Below are 21,821 nucleotides of genomic sequence, written 5' to 3' on the forward strand. Positions count from 1 at the left end.
TTAATAAAGGCAGGTCCCGCAGGCTCAACCACAGGCTGGTTGAGCTCCCTGCTGCCTCCAGACTCCTCCTGGCCCTCCTAGTGATTCGGTGCCCCAACCTCTCTGGGTCTGTGAGCAATAAACTTCTGCTTCTTGCATTTTAGTTTCACCAACACACCCAAACCTTACTCTCTCCCCCACCCACCCAATCAGGGCTCTCCTAGACAGGCCCCAAGATCAACTAAGAAAGAAACCATACTAATACAAATCGCAACAGTCCCAGAAGTCCCTCCTCCTCTCTGTTACTACCCATCCTCATCCCCTATCCTAACGTCTAATGCTACAGAGAAACAATGAAAATTGTTTTCTTTGGTAAACTTGGGCATTCAAGGACAGAATGCCCAGAATGACTTCTGCTAGCTCTTAGCTAATCAGTTTATCCCAAAACATGCAAACAAAATTCACCATTCCCAGACTTACAGATCCTGTTGTTGCCTGTGTTCCGTGACTCAGTCCACCAACTGTCTACTTACTTATGAGCAAACACATGACATGCAAAGTCACTGAGCAGTGAGCAAAAGAATAAATGTCTCTCTGACTCATTCTTCGACAAAGAACAACTCCTCCCAGATAGCTTGAGATAATATATTAAATGTAGTTGAAAAGGGCTCTTAAATATGATTACTTTTTTATCCATAAAGATGAGTAATTCTTAATGAATCTACAGACATATAGCTCCTGTGGTTTTTTAAAAAATTTCCAAGCATTTGGGGAAATGTAATTCATTTCATAAGTAAATTTAATTCATTCCCTATGTAAAGATACAGGAAATTTAGTTCATTTCATATGTAATATGAGATCAATAAAATATTATCTATTTTTTCCATGTATACCGGAAATCATGTGAAGCACGAATTTTAAAATTCCTTTTAAATATTATAATCAGTTACATAAAAGTGGATTTTCTGTAACAATGATCTATTCCTAGTTTCAGCAGTTTTTAGGATTTTGCTACAAAAAGAGAACTAAAGAGTGATTCAAAGCAGGACATTAGCCTCTGCTGCAGACATTGTTGCATCCAAAATTCTCTCATTAAGGAAATCGGGATAGTGAACCAAAGGTGTTTAATGGACCAGTGAATGAGTTTAACAGTGATATCATATTGATTTTTTTTCTGTTCCTCACTGCCTGAGGGGATCTATCTACAAATTCTATTTCGATTGAGGCACCACCAAGGGGAGGAAAAATATTACCACTGGCATTTTACTGCTTGCACCAGTTGGTATTCTTTGAACTTTTTCTTTCTCTGGAGCCTTAACCATTTATTTACTCCCAAAAAGCATTCTCAAATTTCTTTTCTGCCATGTCTCAAAATAGAAATACTCAGACAGCCCCAAAAGAAAAGCAACAGAGGCAAAAATTATTCTCCAAATCAGTTTACATATTTTATCGAAACCACCTCCTTGAAATACATATAAACATAAAATAGACAATGCTACATCTATTATATACATAACATCATCTTTCGTCAATAGAAAAACTTTAGTATTTAATATTTTTAAGAATGCAAGTCTATCAGTTTTCTTATTCTCTATTCAAATAAATAATCTCACACATTAGCATTGTTTTCTCTGAAATAAATATCTTCAGAGCTTTGGGGTACATCTGATATCTGAATCACAAATTGTTGTCCATCTTTTAGGGTTATGAGGGCTTCTTGTCCCATAGGAAGGCTGAGTTTAACTGCGCTTTCAGTGGTTTCATCTTCCAACAGCACCTGGATGAGCTGCAAGAGGGAAATGTTTTAAGGGAAAAGATAAAAAGAGACAGATACTATTCCTTGTTGCAGGAACTACCATTTGAATTCTTCTACCAAGCCCGTGCTCCCACCCTGGGATGTAAAGGAGAAGTTCATGCATTTATTCCTTTTTTTTTTTGAGACGGAGTTCCACTCTTGTTACCCAGGCTGGAGTGCCATGGCGCCATCTCAGCTCACTGCAACCTCCGCCTCCTGGGTTCAAGCGATTCTCCTGCCTCAGCCTCCCAAGTTGCTGGGATTACAGGCATGTGCCACCATGCCCAGCTAATTTTGTATTTTTAGTAGAGACAGGGTTTCACTACGTTGGCCAGGCTGGTTTCGAACTCCTGACCTCAGGTGATCCACCTGCCTCAGCCTCCCAAAGTGCTGAGATTACAGGCGTGAGCCACAGCACCCAGCCCATGCATTTATTCTAAGAGAACTCCTGATTTCTCAGGAAAACACTCAGGGTCCAGTGAGGACTCAGTGGGAGGCTTTGCAAGGCAGGGATGGTGCAGGGGCGGGGAGCTGATGGGCTCTCTTTAGGGAAAGGCAGTTTGTGAGAAATGTCCTCGTGAGAGCAAACCAACACTCTTCCTTAACAGACACTGGAGAAAGAAGATGAGTCATGAAAGTCGGGAGGGAGCCTGTGAAAGGCACCCACGGTCTCCATGTAGCTGGAGACCCCCCATCAATTTGGGAGTCTCCAGACGGGTACTAATCCCCACATTCTCAACAAGTCTCTGGAGCTGACATAGTCAGTTCAAATTCCCACACAGGCTCTCCTTCCCCCATCCGTCAAATAAACCACTAAATGGGGGAAAAAACCTATGAAAACAGCAATCTGGTATTGGTGACTCAATTGGGAAGTAACAGATTCGAGAGGTGGGGAGGTTCTAAGTTAGCTGAAGCTCTCCTCAGCCACTTCACCTGACGAGCAAGTCTTCCTATCAGAGAAAGGCGAATGTACCATCCCTCCCTTAGCTCCAGGAAACTTGGTCATGACTACTTTAAAACCAATAGAAATGTATTCACTTGGTCTGATTTCATCAATAAACCTCCTATAAGCTAGTATACTTTGACAGAGATGTGTGCACCATAACTTCAAATGCAAGGTTCATGAAAGCATGTCTCACTCTTTCTCTAAATTCGACAAAAACCATCACCACCCAGTGAAAAGGTGTTTTTCTTCTTTTTCAAAAAATTGTTTTCACCTTTATCTTAGAGGTGAAGAGACACTTAAAAAAATTTGTTTTGCTCTGCTGTAATCCTGGAGTACATGACCTAAATTCGTTATTTAATATCAGTATAGTTTTTCACTTTGTTCTTAAACACGCCTTGGCATCTGACTATTTTGAACGCCGCTAGAATGTAGAAGAGGGACAGATGGGTATGGCAATCCGGAATGCTGACTTCAGTTGTTACCGGAGGTGCAGGCCAGCGCTAAATTGTTCAGGGAATGAGGCTGCCACAGCTGTGCAGCTGAATGGGTGTTAAACGGTGGCAGATGAATGCAGATGGGACATGCAGGGTGTGCTTTTTTGTTGATGATGAGTGCAAGTGCTGAATAATGGATGCAATGAAAATCAGATGAGCGTAACTTTTTGGTGTGATTGTTTAAGTCATTATAGCTAATTCAGCAGGCATGAATGAACAGAAGCAGGTTTAATTAATCTCTAATGTGTATTACCTTGGATTACCTGACATTTGTCTGCTTGTATTGCTTTATTCTGTAGTTCAATTAAGTATGTAATATCTTCTCTATTGTTTCCAACCATTAAATATAGGTCAAACCTCTTTGCAAGGAACTTCAGAGGAGCTAAGGGATTGGGCCAACAGTGTTAAGAGGAAGTGCTCAGCTTAGGAGGCCGTGGTGGAGAAATAATAACGATGACCAGTGGTTATTGGGTACTTACTACATTCTAGGAAATAGTCTAAGCATTTTACAACAATTAACTCATTTAAACCTCATAATGTTCCTGTAGAATTAGACATGAGTATCCCCATAAGTTAAGCAATTTGTCCAGTGTTCTATCTAATAAGGGGAAGAAGTAGAATTTGAACCCAGAAATGTATGTACCAGGATTGCCCTTATCAGATTTGAAGGTATTTTTAGTAATTAGTCCCAAGAGACCAATTTTGGAATTAAAGCAGATGGTAGAAAACACTGTTGGGGAGAGAGAGAATGCTGAGAAGGACAGTCTTGGAAGGATCTGTGGAGGTGTAAATTCCTGTTCTCCCACTGATTAGTGAGGTGACCTTGGGAAAATTACCCAACCCCTTCAAGATCCTCAGTTATGCCAGCTGTAAAATGAGGTTGATGATAACACCTATTTCATTGAGATGAAAAGATGCATTTAAACGCTCAGCTCCGGGAGACTGTCAGCGTCTGCTCTTCACGCCTTCTAACTGTGGCTGAAGACGTAAAAGCTTACTCCTGGTTACCTTGCTGACTAGGAAGCATGTGTATATAATTTGACTAACATTCTCCGCTTGGCTGAACTTTAGTCTGGCTCCTGAACCTTCTCCTTCGCCCACTTCCTTATAAAATCCAGTTTTAGCAAGAACCCTGCTGAGTCACTTTAGCGAGAATGCCCCATCTCCATATGTGATCAGTTTCCTCATCCTCTGCCAGCCTCCAGGTGATGTCTGGTCACCCCAGCTGGCTGGACTTCTACAAGAATCCTCTTAGGTGGGTTCAGCAGAATCCCCCTTACCTCTGACATTTCTTCTTAGTAAATTCCCATCCATTGACCCCCACCTGGCTCCTAGGCTATAAATTCTGCACCCGCCACCCTGTCCCTTCTGTACTCAGAGTTAAGCCCAATCTCCCTCCCCGGTTGCAAAAGCCCTGTGGAGATGGTACTGAATAAAGCCTTCCTTACAGATAAAGCCTCCCTTACGGTGCTTTAACGAGTGTCACTGCAAGATGTTTTTGTTTTTCCTTTCACAAGTTGTCATGCTACACTCCGACCTCTTGCTCCAGCCGGTGAGCGCAAAGAATTTGCTTTCACTTGGAGCTGAACACTGCAGCCCAGCATGAATGCTGGCCCTGCTAGGGCTCTACAGAATGCTCCAGAGTACACTCAGGCGCTTTCCACTGGTGGCCCTTGGAGGGCTCTGCCGCCAGGTACAGCAGCAGGGAGAGCCATCCTCCTAGGTATAGCCTAGCCAAGCCATCGCCTCTTCAGATCTAACTGGGCCTTCTTTCTGCCAACTGTCTGGAAACACCTGCTTCCTGAAAGCGCCTTAGCTGCTGCCAGCTAAGGAGGCCCAGCTCTCATCAGCACCCCCAAGTTGGGGTCAGTGTTTCGCTGCTGCATCCTTCATCGACCATGTCTGCTTTTTTCACATGGACACTCGTGGAGGAGGTGAGTTTCTCATTTACAGACAAACGTTGGAATCTACCTCACAGAGAGCACCGAATGCAGCTGGATACGTGACTTACTATCTCAAAGTGAGAAACAAAGACCAAATACAGATAGAGAACTGGTAAACCTGAGAGATGCATTTCCCCGGCTCCTGTTTTGTTTTGTTTTGTTTTGTTTTTTTGGTCTAGGGAGGTGTCTTGTCCAAGCATTGCTCAGTAACAGGTGTGCAGGATCTCTGCAATCGGAGAACTCGCAATGAGAGTCTGCTCAAGAAGGAAAGGGCCCTGGAAGGTTCCTGTTATTCTGCGGACTCTAAGGCATGAAGAGTTTTAGGCTGTGACTCACTGCCACAACTTGCTTCAGGTTGAATGATCGCACCTGCCTCAATTTCCTACTAAGCACAACTCATCTGTGCGAGAGGGGGAACTTGTGGGCACAAAAAGAAGAAGGCGGATAGCGGCTAAACATCAAATATGTGCAGAGAAATTAGCCCTAAGACAATCGCTGTCAGTTTTTTTTAACCAGCCCACTCCCCACTCCTCAATGGAGGCATTTCAGTTGTTCCTCCATCAGTCCAGCTCTGCTTCATGGTACTGAGGTCCATGTCCGACCTCTACAACCTGCGTCCTGCACTCCTCAGGGCATAAAACAACCTCCTGTCTAGGGTTGTAGGTGAAGAATGGACTTGAGATCAGGCAGGCTGGGGCTCCAATCTCTGTTCCACTATTTCCTCGCATTTCCTTGCTGTGTGACTTTGTGCAAGTCACTCAGCTTCTGTGAGCCTCAGTTTCCTCATCCATCAAATGACAATGACAAGAACAAATATTCTATAGGATGGCATGGCTTCGAGATAACATACATAAGGGCTATATAGTAGGTGTTAGGTAAATAGTAACTCTAATTTTTGTATCTTTCAACAGGTATCCCAATGTAATCTTTTCAAAATCCTCTGTTCAGACTATTCGACGTTTCCGTCTTTGAACACTAGGGGAATTTTCAGTGCATGCCACTCAGACGTTAGTGGTGTGCTACTGCTGAGTTAGTCTAACCAGGCCAGGCACACTCTGGGAAGGCAAGAAATACCCAGGCCATCAGATGGTCACACTTCTAATCATGCCAGGCATCTATCAATGTCCCACAAACCTGAGCTGACCAGTAATCAACAGATAGTGAATTAAACTCACCCCTGGCAAAATCACCTAGGGTAAAGATGACTGTAGAATCGTTTATCATTGTTTGGACAAAGTGATCTTGAGGGTTTTACTAATCACCTGTGGCTCTTATTCCCCTTGAAACAGCTGTGTGGAAGGGGGTCCTGGTGTCCCTACCTTATTGCCCATGGCAGTGTCCACCAGGAAGCCCAGGATCCTGAGGACCATGTTGCTCACACCCACGGGATATCGGCCCTGGCCCATGTGTGTGGGCATCACCCCCAGTGGCTCCATGCTGGGGCTGGCACACGCCTGCGACAGTGAGGAATTCAGAGAATGGAAAAGTGCCTGGTCTGGCTGGCCGAGAGTCGGGTCATCTGGTAGCATTTCCTTGACAGTCCCCATGTCCTCCTCCTCCTCTTCCTCCTCTAGGCATGACTGAAGTATATGAATCATATATTCCAAAAGCAACAAGTGAAACAGATGCCAGGAGCCTACATTTAGATAATAACCAAAAATGAATACATTTGATCGACAGACAATAAACAAATCATTGTGAAACTAACAACTTTTCTGGGGCTAACACCTGTGTACGTGAGCCTCGTTCCAATAGCTTACCCAGAAGAGGCCTGGGTCGGCCTCTTACGTAGCATCCATCAGTAGAAAACCCCTGGCAGGGCAGCTTTTGGACAGAAAGGACCAAGAGCTAAATAGCCTAAGTCATGAAAAGGAACTTAAAATCCATCCGGTGTGAGATGGGAGAAAAGCAAACCCTACAGGGAACTGGGTGCTGCTCCCAGAGCTGGAGAGGGTACCCCTCAACCTCATCGTGCCCCATGTATGATCCACAGGAATGTCCAGAAGGGGTGGGAGGAAACGGGGGCAGTGTGCAGAGGGAACCCTGCTGCTGTTTTGTGGTGTTTGAAACGTAGCGCCTTGCCCCTCTTGCAGACCCTGTGGCTGCAGCTCTTTGTGTGGGAAGTGGGTAAGGAGGCCAGCTGGCATTCCACCTGTGAGAGGCGTCTTCTCAGGTGGGCCTGCAAGTGCTGTCATCAGAGACAGGAGGGTATGTGACTTAGCTGAATGCTCCAAATCCCAAGGCCTTTGTGCTCCCAGAAAGGAAAACAATCATTAATGTTTGCTTGAGAAACAGAGGGGGAAATCTGGCCTATTGCAATTGTTAAAAGATAAGTTTTAAATAAAGGTAAAACCATGACTCTTATACAGATATAAAATGGACACATCAGGCTGGGCACAGCGGCTCACGCCTGTAATCCCAGCACTTTTGGAGGCCGAGGCGGGCAGATCACGAAGTCAGGAGATCGAGACCATCCCAGCTAACAAGGCGAAACCTTGTCTTCACTAAAAAATACAAAAAATTAGCCGGGCAGGGTGGCACGTGCCTGTAGTCCCAGCTACTCGGGAGACTGAGGCGGGAGAATCGCTTGAACCCAGGAGGCGGAGGTTGCAATGAGCCAAGATCGCACCATTGCATTCCAGCCTGGGTGACAGAGCGAGACTCCATCTCAAGAAGAAAAAAGAAAAAAGGACATATCAAAGGTTTTATTTAACTCATTAATTAAATGATGTATTACATCTTATTGCTACATCAGTAAGATGTTGCCACTGGTTCAAAAGAGAATTCAAAGTACTAACTATATACTATAGACAGAAAATAATGCTGACAGTGACAAATAGATGCAAAAGGGATCTGTCCTCAGGGTAGTATCAATCACAACCACCTGACACAACTAGCTTGTATTTCTGTGGATGAGGGTCATCTGCATTATCAGTTTGCTGCAACTTACAGGGCTGTAAAAATAACTCAAAGACAATGGAAGGTAGAGATAACCCAGAAGGCTGTGCCAACCTTTTGTCCATTTCAAAGCCTTTTGTCCATTTCAAGTAATCTTTTCATCCATTTCAAAAGCCCTTCACAGTTTTTTCCCTGAGTAGTGTTCTATTCCTCCACGGATCTGGGTGAGAGATCATTGCCCCCGTGGAAGGCATGACCTTGCCTGAAGTGAGCCTGACAACATCGTCTTTCCTATTTAACCTTGAAAAATCATAGTCCAAGTCCTGAAACCATTGTTCAAACTACTGGTGTGAATACATTGATTTCATATGGAGGTACAGAGAAGGTAGACTGGGAAAAGTAACAACTACAGACTAGATTTCTTTTCTTTTTTTGAGACAGAGTCTGGCTCTGTTGCCCAGGCTGGAGTGCAGTGGCACAATCTCAGCTCACTGCAACCTCTGCCTCCCTGGCTCAAGCAATCCTCCCACCTCAGCCTCCCAAGTAGCTGGAACTACTGGGCCACCACACCTGGCTAATTTTTTTTTTTTTTCGTAGTGACAGGGTTTCACCATATTGCCCAGGCTGGCCTTAAACTCCCAGGCTCAAGAGATCTGTGTCCCTCAGTCTCCCAAACTGCTGGGATTACAGGTGTGAGCCACCACACCCGGCTCAGGGCTAGATTTCTTCCCATGATGCATGTGAACTCTGCTGTCTCTCTGCTCTGAAAGAGCAGGAGCATAAAGCAGAGTCAGTTTGGACTTCAGTGAAGGGAAGAGTCCCACTATAAGTGAGTGTCACCTATATGGCAGCTGATAGCAGCAGCCCTCAGGAGCTCCAGGGTGTCTGCAAAGCTGGTCTAGAATAGGGCTTGCTTTCTCTTCCTTCTTGCTGTGAGAGTATCTGGCAGCTCTCTATGCAGGGATCACTTGCCATAACTACTGTGCAAACTCACAGGAGTGGAGACTTTATCTTTCCACTGCTGTATGCCCAGTGCCCAGGAAGGTGCCTGGGAAACAAGAAATACCTTTTGAAGGAATGATCCATTCCATGAAGCTGGTGGGCTGAGTGGTGAACTTCCCTTCCTATAATCCTTTTTTTTTTTTTCTTGAGGTGAAGTTTCGTTCTTGTCACCCAGGCTGGAGTGCGTTGGTGCAATCTCAGCTCGCCACAACTTCTGCCTCCCAGGTTCAAGTGATTCTCCTGCCTCAAGCTCCTGAGTTGCTGGGATTACAAGCGTCCGCCACCGCGCCCGGCTAATTTTTGTATTTTTAGTAGAGACAGGGTTTCACCATGTTGGTCAGGCTGGTCTCGAACTCCTGACCTCAGGTGATCCATCTGCCCCAACCTCCCAAAGTGCTGGGATTACAGGTGTGAGCCACAGCACCCAACCCCTACAACCCTTTTTATAAGGCAATTGCATCAAAGATGTGACCTTCCCCAACAGAGGAAGTGATTTGACCAGGAAGTTTGCAAAATGAACATTACTTCACTCTCTCTACCATCGCATACAATGGCAACTTAATCATTATTCCTGAGAGTTAAGTATGAGTGCTTCAAAGAACCCATTTTGTTCTCCATCTCAGTTGTCTCTCTCGGTGCTTTTCTCTAAATGTCACAAAGCTCATAATTCAAGAACAAGGAGAGTGTGTCTAACGATGATGAAACAGGAAGGAAAAGCATGGTCCATCTGTTTGACAGACTATCACACTGACACTAAAAATAAAAATTACTATCGTGTTGTATGGTTTGCTGTATCTATGTTATATTTTACATAGAAAGGTTAAAAGAAGACGGCTGGATTCTACATAGCAATACGCAAAATACTTATGCCATAATGACATTTTTAAAAGGTAGAATACAAAATACTTTCTTATTCTCTGACTTACCAAAACTATCTCTGTGGCAGAGGGTCATGGCTTTGCTTACAGCAGTGAGAAGAAGATTCCATCTCAGCTGGAAGCTGGCGGCCAATTTGGTAAACTCTTCTTTGCTTCTGCTTGTCTGTTAAGTTTTTGTGAGAAAAAAGGCTGCAGTTTGTAATAAAATCAAGAAGCATAGTATGTTTTCAAATGCACACATTTGTCATGCACACGCATTTTTAAAGAGCCAAAGAAGAGGAAGATGAAATAACAAAAGCGGGAACTGAGGCAGCGGGGCAAATGTCTGGTCTTTCTCTGTCTTCCATGGAGACGGTTCCAGGGCAGAGCCCTTTAAAGTTGGTGGAGAGAAGGAGGGAGGTAGGAAATTGGCTCACTTTTTCTCTTAAAATAAAAAAAAAGCAAATTTTTTTTTTTTGAGACATGGTCTTCCTGTTCCCCAGGCTGGAGTGCAGTGGCACGATCTTGGCCCACTGCAGCCTTGAACTCCTGGGCTTAAGCGATCTTCCCATCTCAGCCTCCTGAGTAGCTGGGACTACAGGCATGCACCACTGCACATGACTAATTTAATTTTGGGGGGGAGGGTGGGTAGAGATAAGGGTCTCACTATGTTGCTCAAGCTGGCCTTAACTTCTAGGCTCAAGTGATCCTCCTGTCTCGGCCTCCCAAAGGCACTGGGATTAGAGGCATAAGCCACCATGCCCAGCACCACACAGTTTTTAAAAAAGAGGTCACTTGTGATGTGTGACACAGAAACACCGTAGGGACAGCCTCATTGAAGTCCACTTTGGAATGGCCATCAAGAGGGGCAGGGGCTGTTTTATTCCTGCACTTCTGCATGTCAAATCTGATTGTGGAAAAGGGGCACAGAATCCCATAATAATGAAAAGCAGTGGTGCCTATTTGGAAAAGCTGGTCGTCATGCTTGCTGTGTAACCAAGCTCCAAACTGCAAAGTCCCAGCCCCTAAACCCAGTGGAACCAAGGTCATCTGACAGCCTCATTGGCACTAAACTGTGTACCAATAAGATGCTGCTGCATGCAGACTAAGAGATTCCCTCTACCCAGACAGAGAGCAGCCTTGGGCCACACTTGAAGCCATCTGTAAGCCATGAGTCATGGATTTCAAATGCATCTGTTGATATGCATGCTCCAAGCCTCTTCTCATCCTCAGTCACATGCCTGTGGACCCACCACAGCTCCACCACATGTCTTTGAGGAAGAAATAGAGAACTTGGCTACAAACAAAGAATGCCCTTTCTTGTCATTGCTTCTTTTCCCTTCTGCCCCAGTGAAATCCTTGGCACACCAGAAGGTGGCCCTGAGCTTCAGGGGACGTGAGGTCCTTTCAGTAGCATCCTCCTCCTCAGTGCTCCTCACCATCTGAGATGGACTCTTGGGAGGAGCTCTTCCCATCAGTGTTCAGCAGAGGGTTTTATGTTGAAGGGACAATGAGAGTACAAAAGCACAGGGATCCTGCTGGGCACGGTGGCTCACGCCTATAATCCCAGCACTTTGAGAGGCAGACGCAGGTGGATCATTTGAGGTCAGGAGTTCGAGACCAGCCTGGCCAACATGGCAAAACCCCGTCTTTACTAAAAATACAAAAATTAGCTGGGCAGGGTGGCACACGCCTGTAATCCCAGCTACTCCGGAGGCTGAGGCAGGAGAATCGCTTGAACCTGGGAGGCGGAGGTTGCAGTGAGCTGAGATTGCGCCGCTGCACTCCAGCCTGGGTGACAGAGCAAGACTCCATCTCAATTAAAAAAAAAAACAAAACACAGGGATACTTCCTAAAAGCATCGAGGGATGCAGCTCTGAGTGACCAGGGCTTTCTCTGCACAAATGTTTGAAAGTCAGCCATGAACACCATTGAGCTTTCTTCCCGTCACGTCCACAGTGTGGCACTTCATGTCCCCCAACGTAGAAGCTCCTCCAGGGCCCGAACTGCCCTCTGCTCGCTGACTGCCAGATGCTAACTGAAGCCATGGGGCATCTCTGACAAGCCCAAAGGTGTGCATCTTAATAGTCTGAGCACTTGATTGACAATAATCTGGTTTTGTAAAGATCAGCCAAGCTATTTTACAAAAACAAGTCCTTCAAAGGCACGCAGTTACAAAAACACCATTTTTCTAATTTGCCTCCTTTGTGAGGGCTGAAGGCACAACGATGGAGACTTGGGAAACACATAGCGCTCTGTGGTTTACAATGTAGGACGACAGGGTTGGTAGTGATGATCTCAGTGGGTTCATCTGATTAAAGCTGGAGGCTGGCCGGGCGCGGTGGCTCACGCCTGTAATCCCAGCACTTTGGGAGGCTGAGGCGGGCGGATCACGAGGTCAGGAGATGGAGACCATCCTGGCTAACACGGTGAAACCCCGTCTCTACTAAAAATACAAAAAATTAGCTGGGCGAGGTGGCGGGCACCTGTAGTCTCAGCTACTCGGGAGGCTGAGGCAGGAGAATGGCGTGAACCCTGGGGGCGGAGCCTGCAGTGAGCCGAGATCGCGCCACTGCACTCCAGCCTGGGCGACAGCGAGACTCCGTCTCAAAAAAAAAAAACAAAAAAAACGCTGGAGGCTGAGTTCCAGTTTCCACTTAACGAACAGACAATGGACAGCGCCTGTCTGTGAGGATGTATAATATAAGCCTTCAGCTAGCAAATGAATAAATGTCTCAGTAGCCATCCAGCTCTGGACATGGTCACTGCTGTTAAAAATAAGCTTTGCCTAAGATCAACAGGAGGAATAAAAACCATACAGAATCTGGGATAATTATTTTCAAGAAGCAAATGAGACCAGGCACCTGCCAAGGGTTGGAACTGGCTTTCCAGCTCCTTCCTGAGGATTTTTCTGGTTCATGTCTAGGAGGTTGAAGATCCCAAAGTCCCCTGCAGTCTTCTTGGTCTCAGTGATTATTTCTCCTCTTTCTTCTCAACTGAGAGTTCAGGGATACAGACAAGGCCAGGCAGGTGGCACAAGGGAGTGGCCACAACACGGCCAGAAGCTTAAAGAGAAAGCCCAGAGCCACGCTTCCAGCCCCAGGCCCTCGGAGTCTTTGCTCTCTCCACCAGTGTGGACTGCTCCTTCCTTCCTGGGTAAACTCACTCCTGCTCTTGAATGCCCGATCCCCCTCTCTCAGCTTATTTTAATCCTGCACATGCTTCATATCCCAGTTTTAAGTCCCACCTTCTCTTCAAAGCCCTTCACAACCACTTCAGCCTTGGCAAGCACAAAGTCTCAAGAGGTGGGGCCCGGGCTGCCTCATTTCCCTCTAGGTGTTTTTGTTTGTTTGTTTGTTTGTTTTTTGAGACAGAGTGTTGCTCTGCCGCCCAGGCTGGAGTGCAGTGGTGTGATCTCAGCTCACTGCAACCTCCAGTTCCCAGGTTCAAGTGATTCTCGTGCCTCAGCCTCCCGAGTAGCTGGGACTACAGGCGCATGACATCACGCCCAGCTAATTTTTTTGTATTTTTTTTAGTAGAGACGGGGTTTCACCGTGTTAGCCAGAATGGTCTCCATCTCCTGACCTTGTGATCTGCCTGCCTCGGCCACCCAAAGTGCTGGGATTACAGGAGTGAGCCACCATGCCCGGCCAGACGGAGTCTTTTGTTGCCCAGGCTGGAGTGCAGTGGCTCTCAGCTCACTGCAACCTCCGCCTGCTGGGTTCAAGCGATTCTCCTGCCTCAACCTCCCGAGTAGCTGGGATTACAGGTGCGTGCCACCATGCCCAGCTAATTTTTGTATTTTTAGGAGAGACAGGGTTTCACTATGTTGGACAGGCTGGTCTTGAACTCCTGACCTCATGTGATCCTCCTGCCTGGGCCTCCCAAAGTGCTGGAATTATAGGCATGAGCCACCGTGCCTGGCCTCCCTGTAGGTTTTAACCTGCAGCCCCTAGCTCTCCCCACCTGCCCTGAGCCCATGGAGTGAAGGGCCGTGGCCTCTCTCAAGGCATTCTCAGCTCTCCACTGCCCCCATGGAGGATGATGAAAATCAAGCCCAGGATCCCACTGAAGCAACTCCCAAGAGCCACATTGGTCGAAAGGATCAAACCTGCCCATATCGACAACGAAACCATCTTTGGGCTTTTGAAATCAAGCCAGACATTTTACTGGAACATGTCTGCAAAACATGGGCTGCTCTCCCCCTGAAATAGACAAAACCCCTCCTCCTTTTCCACACTCCCTTTGCTGCAATACACACCTGCAGACGCAGTCACCCACACCCACTTACACACATGCTCACACACACTGTCACACACATGCTCACCTGTACACACACTCATCCATGCATGCTCACCCACACATACATACTGCACACGCTCATGCACACCCACTCACCTGTACACCACGCTCACCACACTCACATACACACATGCTCACACACACCCTGACACACATGCTCATCACAGGCTCGCCCCTCCACACACACTCCCACACACCCAAACATATGCCCACACTCACACACACACACACACACACACACACTTATGTGATGTGCTCCACCAGACCCCCATTCTCCACCTGCTACAGAGTTCGAGGCCATCCCCTGCCCTCACACCCAGGCCAGCTTTGACACATTTCCGACCAGAGCCTAAGAAGCCTCTTTCCCATCCCTTAGGCAATGGGCACTCATTTATCTAGAATGGTCAACACACTTTTTTTTTTTTTAAGTCACAGCTTCCTACCTGGAACACAAATGCTTGGAGATGTGAAGACAGACAGCTGAGGAATACCCTGAGATCTGTTGATGTTCCCAGCAAAGAAATTAAGTTTCTTAAACCTACAAAGACACAAAATAAACAAACAAAAGATTGCATGCAGCAGAGCAGAATTTCTCTTAGGTATTTGTGTACTGGGTAACCTGGAAACATCACTGAACAATAGCTCGAAGGGACTCCCCAGGGCCTCATGCTCATTGTGAACACAGAGGATGTCCTGAGGCTGGCTTTGTCACTTCTGCGGTCATCTATTCAGAATTACATGGACATACCTGTTGTGAGCCACCTCTGCCACTTGTTGAAACAGAAATATTTTGAAACCATAACTACACCTTGCAATTATCCAGACCTTGTCTTCAGATGAGCTCATTGCACGATACAGACATGACCTCACCTATCCTTGCCATCTTCATCAAAGGGCTGGTTTATTAATGTCATTGAAGTGATGGCAGACATACGTCAAAGCTGCTGAGAGAGGGTGAGCGCCTTGCCTGCGGTTATGCACTCAGTTAGGTGGAGCCTGGTGTGACATCAGATTCTGGGTCCTCCACCTGCACAGGTAGCACTGACAGGGAAAGAACAGCCTTTGGCCTTCCCAGCTTTTTGAGTGCTTCTGCATACCAAGCAGAGTTTGGAAAACTGAGTCGGTTGCAGTGGCCCCTCTGAGGCTTGGTGGAGGTGCGCTTGGACTTGGAACTGGAATCATTTGCCTGCAGGTATCAGCAGTGGCTGGCAGTCTGCTATCTCCCTGCAGAACTCTGCATCTTCCTGTTGGGACTCACAAAGATGCCAGTAGGAGCACAGGAGCCCTGGCCAGACCAGTGGGCAGTCTGGAAGGCACCGGGCGGGGGAGGGGGTGTCTCATGCCCTCCTGGGACTCCCTGTGATCCAGCTGGGGGCAAGAGGAGGTTTTGGTTAGCCAGAGTGTTGGGAAGGGGACCTTTTGGGTTCCTACTAGTCAGAACTGCAGAATTACTAATCAGAATTAGTAATCCTACTAATAGTTCTGAAGCCTGCCAGATTAGGTGTTAACCTTTTAGTTGCTGGATTGGTGGGAAAAAAAAGTGCCCTATGGGAGGATCTGGAATTGGGGTCAGCCAAGGGACACTATCAAGGGACAGGACAGTAGAGGGGAGCAGAGGTCATTTACCAACAACTAGGGATATATTTTAGTATTTTAATAACTGGCACAACCCTACCAAGGCCAGCCCTACTTCAGGGTGAAAGAAAGAGGATGGGCTAATTTACAGGTGGTGCTTTTGTGTACTCCTGAATTCTGTATCCGTCAAGTCACGAAACACTGAAGTGCTCCTGTGGGCCAGTGCAATGCTGGGTGGCCCAGGGTGAATAAGACACAGTTGATAGCCTGAAGGGGTTCATAGGAACTGAGCGGGCAGCTGTAGACACAGCTGAGAGTACTACCAAGGAGTTATGCCCATAGAGGGAGAGGCCATTCGACTTACCTGGGGCATCTTGGCAGCGAGTGTTTGGAAAGGACACACACAGGGGAGCCTGGCACCCTCCCTGTAGCCATCATAGGAGGGCCTAGAGATGCCCATAATTCATAATCGGTAACCATCCTGCAGCTTCCTGCCTCCCAGGTCCTCCCTGAGTCTGGAGAGCTCCTGCTGCCACTATGTTCGCTCCCCAAGGACGCAACAACACACACCAGCCAGCAACGCAAGCTCTTTATGGAAGGGGGATTTTTTTCTTGAAAAACAATGACAATGATCAATAGCAAATGGCAAGAATATCCACCTGCTTCCTGTCACTTGTTTGGAAAGTAATGAAATATGGTAAAAGCACCATTGTTAAACTTCACATTGCAAGTAACAAGAGTGATGGGAGAATGTGTCGACGCAGACATCTAGCTCAAGGCAGTTTAGCATGATTGAGGAGACACAGGAGTCTGTGTGTGTACAACACAGATGCAGAAACTAAGCTTTTCCCCCACAGGAGATATTCTGGAGATAAATACTGTCAAGCAGCAAGCACACTCATCTGATCGTTTATGGACTCAACTAACAGGTATCAGCACTGCTGCCCTGTCTGGCCCTGGGGTAGGTCCTGGGAGCACAGGGACAGGGCGTCCCCTGGGGTGTTCATCACCCCACTACAGGAAGAGAAGTGTGAGCAGACAACTTAGAACATCGGAGTTATAAAGTTCTACCCCTATTAAGAAATTCATGAGTTAACGATGGCCATGCTAGCCCCAAATCTATGCCCAACACGCCAATAAAGCAAGCTGCAGAAGGAAGATTACATTTCATCTCTGGGTTGTTCTCCAGTTCATCTGCGCCACTCCGGTCACTTGCCAGGGCTTTCTTAGAAGTAGCCAAAGTGCCTTGATTGATGATGGCCTGTAGATCTGACTTCAAAACGCTGACACGCCTCTTACTTTTCAATACCATTCGCATAGTCTAAAGATAACAGGGAGGCATAATACTTAATTCAATCTGGTCATTTTATTTTTGCCTAACTCTCCCCCAAATTGCCAAGATTTTTGTTGTGGGGGAGAAAGAAACATTGATGTGGATATTACCCATTAAAAATGAATCTTAAACAAGAATGAAAAGGTTAAAATTGCACACATTCTGGAACTGCCCTTCTGGAAGGAGAAAGAACGCATCTCTAGGAAGATGCGTTCAGGGCTGTCTGGCACTGCTGCTGCTGCTTCTCTGCACCACAATCGCCCCACGCCCAAATGACTCTAGCGAGGGATCCCGGGGATTGAGCCTCTGCAAGGAAGGTGTAGGTAGAGCCTGCACCGATCCTGAGGGAGCGGCTGCGGGATTCGGAAGCTGGCTGTCCCTTCCTCGTGGGAGCCTTGGCCATGAGGAATTTGGCCTCTGGGAGGTGATATCCTCAGCTGTCAAATGGGGACTATCTAGTCCCCAACACTGTCCGACTGCCTGGGATGCACCTGGTTGTCCTCACAGCAGTCCTGGGAGAAGGCACGAGTTACCCCTCCCTTTTACAGAGGACACAGAGGGCTCTTGGGGCGTGAAGTAACTTTCCTGAGGGGCAGTAAGTGGGAAGATAAGGCTCAGAGCAGGGGCAGGCTTCAGAACCCATGCTTACTGCTCTGGTTGTGTTGAGAGGAAGAGCACACTGCCAGGTCATTTCCAGACTGACCGAGTCAGGACTGTGAGAGCCCTGGAGAACAGGACTGGCTGTGACTGACAGTGGGACACAACCCCGCTGAGCTCAGATTCTGGGGAGGGCTCTGCACTGGGAGGATGGGGCCCAGCTCGGGGTCATGGAAGCCACAGTTGGGATCCTCCCAGTGGAGACTGATTTGGAGCACAGTGATGGTCCCCAGGCTCTATCCCAATAGGGTGCTCACAGGACTTGAGAGAGGACTCCTGGTAGCCCACGAGCCGGGTGCCAGCATCATAGAATCTTTTCTTCAGCCCTTCTCAACCTTTCTCTAAATCACCCCAGGATTGAAAAGGTCAGAGCTGAAGTAACTGGTGGCCTGGCCACACTGAGTCCACAGGGCCCCACACACGGGTGAAGGGTGTGTCTGTCTGTCTGTCATAGGCTCTGCTATGACGCCCTGTTACCTCTGACACTGGCACCTCTGTGTGGGGCCTCCCTCTGGCATCTTTTAATTTTATTTTTTTATTTTTTTGAGATGGAGTCTCGTTTTGTTGTTCAGGCTGGAGTACAGTGGCACAATCTTAGCTCACTGCAACTTCCACTTCCCAGGTTCAAGAGATTCTCCTGCCTGTCTCCTGAGTAGCTGGGACTCCAGGCACACACCACCATGCCCAGCTAGTTTTTGTATTTTTTTTTTTTTGATAGAGACAGGGTTTTGCCATGTTGGCCAGGCTGGTCTCGAACTCCTGACATCAAGTAATCTGCCTGCCTCGGACTTCCAAAGTGCCGCGATTACAGGTACGAGCCCCCCACGCCTGGCCATCGGGCATCTTTTAAGTGTTGACCTGCCTTCCCTCCTGCCCTGAGAGAGCCAGGAGATTGGAGCCTTCCTGAGGATGGGTGGAAAGGGGGCAGGCTTCTAGCTTTGAGTCACGGGGGCCCACCTGGACTCCTCTGCCAATGGCCAGGCAAGGCCACCCTGCCTGCCCTCTGCCCTCCAGATGGACAGAGCAACCACTCACTCTTAACAGGGACTTAGAGCTTTCACCTCTTTTCAGGAAACTGCTTTGTTCCCTCCTATCTGCTTGGCTGAAGCCTACCTTAGCCATGTTGGAAAGGTACGTCTTTCTTCTTAGTCTTTTGACAAATAGAGTAACTTCTGTTAAGAACAACACACGTGGCCATTAATACAATAACTTCAAGTTCTCATGTGGGCAGTGGGGAAGAGAAGGTGCATGTTTGGGGTAGGAAGGCACAGCTGGCTAAACTGCAACTTCCCCCACCCCCGTGTCTGCTGGCCCTCTCTGAGTGGCTAGAAGATCCTGGCAGGGGACGCTTGGCTGAAATGTCCTCATGTGCCAGAAAAATTAAGTAACCCCAGCATCTGACATGCGTGCTACTATGATCTGAATGTGTCCCACACCCCAAATTTCATATGTTGAACCTCACCCCCATTGTGATGGTGTTAGGAAGTGGGGCCTTGGGGAGGTGATGAGGCCCCGAGTGTACAGTTCCCATGAAGAGGATTAGAGGCCCCAGAGAGACCCCTTGCCTCTTTCACCATGTGAAGACAAAGCAAAAAGACAGCCATCTGTGAACTAGTAAGCAGACCTTCCCCAGACACCCATCTGCTGGTGCCTTGATCTTGGACTTCCCAGCCTCCAGAACTATAAGCAATAAATTTCAGTTGTTTATATACTGCCACCTAGTTGGTGGCATTTTACTACAGCAGCCAGATTGGACTAAGACCAGTACTCAAAGGAACAACCCCAACTTTCTCATCCTACACTGCTTTCCTTGGAAAATAATCAAAGGAAAGGAAAGGATGAAAAGGGAACGCATAGAAACAGGTGTTCTCCTCTTGAACGCATTCATTCATTTGACAAATATATGGGAGAACACTCGTGCAGTGTTTGCTCAATAACTATTTGCTGGATGGCTGCTGAGCTGATGGACGGAAGAGGACAGCCCTTCCCTACAAAGGGCTCATGCTCCAGAGGGTGGGTCACCAGATATGCAAACACATCCCAAAAGCAGGCTAAGTGCTCCCATGCGATGTGCGAGCACAAGGAAGAAAGGGAGGCTGTCTGGAAGAAGGTATTGAGGAAAGCTTCACTGCGAAGGTGACATTTAATCTGGGCTTTGACGCATAGGTAGGAGATAGCCAGGAGTAATGGGGCAGGAGGCAGTCCAAGCATAGAAAATGGCAGGAATAAGGGCCTTTTCTGGGGACAGCCTGTCTAGTGTTGCTGAAGAGCACTGTTGGGTCATGGGAGTCCCTTGGGAGATGGAGACAGGGATGGGGCCAGAGGCCAAACTGTGAATGACTGCACAGCAGTGGAGGAGAGTGGGCCATCTGGGCAGTGGAGGCCAGGGAAGGTTGGTAATTGATTAATTGCTGCTTTAGAATGATCACTGGGGGTGGAGGGAGTGTGGCTGGGGAGGGGGGTGGAAGAAGGATGACCAACTAGGAAACCGCTGAAGTAGCCTACAGAATGAAGAGACAGAGGCTTGAATTCGGGCAGATGTTAAAGGAGCACAGGAAAACTGGAGGGAGGCTCTGCTCCCCACTCCTTGGACCGCTTTTGCAGCAAGTCCCAGTCTCACCTTCTGCAACGTCCCTAAAATTTCCAAGTGGGACAAACTGGATCAGGGTACCCAGTGTTAGTAGTGAACACAGCTGGGGGCGTGGGGTCGGGAGGAGTGGCGATTAGACATGGTCCTATGCTGTAGGCACTTTGAGAAGTCCCCTATCTGCACTACCTAGGAGATAATTGCAAAGGAAGCAAGACTCATAGAAATGTGGGGAAATAACTGGTGCCAGCTTGGTGACAAAATGACCCTGACCTGGCAAGGAGGGTGGGACCCCGTAGGGAGTTCGAGAGCTGCAGGCAATGATAGCAAAACTTCACAAAGGCAAGAGGGAGAAAATGGGTATTTCCAGGATGATCCGACAGGGCATGGCAGGTGCAGGCTGGCCTTTGAAGGAGCATGGAGCTGCAGGGACACAAAGAGGATAGATTTATAGGGAACTGGACCAGCTGACAGAGCAGTTCAGGCTCGCGCTTGGAAGCCACTGCAGGCCTTGAACAGATAAATAGCCTGGTGGAAGCAGCATTCAGAGACTGCTGCCTGGCAGCCAGACAGAAGGGGAAAGCATTCTAGAAACTCAGCAGAGAGATGGTGCAATTCAGGTGTGAGAATGCCCTGGTGAATATCCACACCTAGAACACCTTGACCTGCCAAAAGTCCATGTTATTATTCAAAAGAGAAATAGCTTAAAAGGGTGTGGCTGGATCAGCACAAAAATCCATCACCAGCACTAAAAGCCAGAAACCCTGAGCAGGCTGGGCCTTCCGGACTGTAGCTGAGTGCATGGGGCAGCAGCTGAAAGCTACCACCCAGGGTGAAAGTCAGATGCTTCATCTACGCTTACAGAATTTATTTATTTATGTATTTCTTTACTTTAAAAACAGGGTCTTGCTCCATCACCCAGGCTGGAGTGCAGTGACATGATCATGGCTCACTGTAGCCTTGACCTCCTGGGCTCAAGTGATCTTCCCGCCTCAGCCTTCTGAGTAGCTAAGACCACAGGTGTGTGCCACCACACTCAGCTAATTTTTAAAACTTTTTTGTGAGACAGGATCTCACTATGTTGCCCGGGCTGGTCTCAAACTCCTGGCCTCAAGCGATCCTCCTGCCTCGGCCTTCCAAAGTGCTGGGATTACAGGCATGAGCCACTGTGCCAGCCCAGAATTTATTTTTTTCATCGAAACCTACCTTTGAGTTTGGAGATCTGCAAGAGGGCTGGAACACCTTCCAAAGCATTAAGGAGCCACAGCTTAAATTTCTTACTAAATAACTGCACAGATTTCAGGTACTGAATAGAAACATCTTCCAAGAAGTCATGAAGGAGAACATCCTCAATTCCCTACAACAAAAGTAACAAGACACTATGATTCTGCTGATGGTGCAGGTGTGGCTGAAGCTTATGCATGCCACAGGGACAGGGCGGGTCTCAAGAAGT

General features: G+C 47.5%; 1 protein-coding gene across 15 annotated transcripts in view; it reads right to left on the minus strand.

Moving 5' to 3' along the window:
* Window positions 1–1,399: 1,399 nt before the first annotated feature.
* RFX8 (regulatory factor X8) overlaps window positions 1,400–21,821 on the minus strand; it is a 77,754-nt gene continuing 57,332 nt past the window's right edge. For 9 of the 15 annotated variants that reach the window (XM_011511771.3, NM_001145664.2, XM_047445739.1 and 6 more), the window contains 7 exons: window positions 21,575–21,725; window positions 18,895–18,953; window positions 16,956–17,112; window positions 14,660–14,754; window positions 9,984–10,098; window positions 6,477–6,793; window positions 1,400–1,765 (listed from right to left, as the gene is read on the minus strand). In XM_011511771.3, the coding sequence (XP_011510073.1) occupies window positions 1,589–1,765; window positions 6,477–6,793; window positions 9,984–10,098; window positions 14,660–14,754; window positions 16,956–17,112; window positions 18,895–18,953; window positions 21,575–21,725 (1,071 nt within the window). In that variant the 3' untranslated portion in view covers window positions 1,400–1,588. Of the gene's footprint in view, window positions 1,766–6,476; window positions 6,794–9,310; window positions 9,351–9,983; window positions 10,099–14,659; window positions 14,755–16,955; window positions 17,113–18,894; window positions 18,954–21,574; window positions 21,726–21,821 lie in introns of those variants that run through there. The other 6 variants (NM_001367510.1, NM_001367508.1, NM_001367509.1 and 3 more) reach the window with 4 other exon arrangements.

Source organism: Homo sapiens, chromosome 2, assembly GCF_000001405.40.
Source record: "Homo sapiens chromosome 2, GRCh38.p14 Primary Assembly".
NCBI lineage: Eukaryota > Metazoa > Chordata > Mammalia > Primates > Hominidae > Homo > Homo sapiens.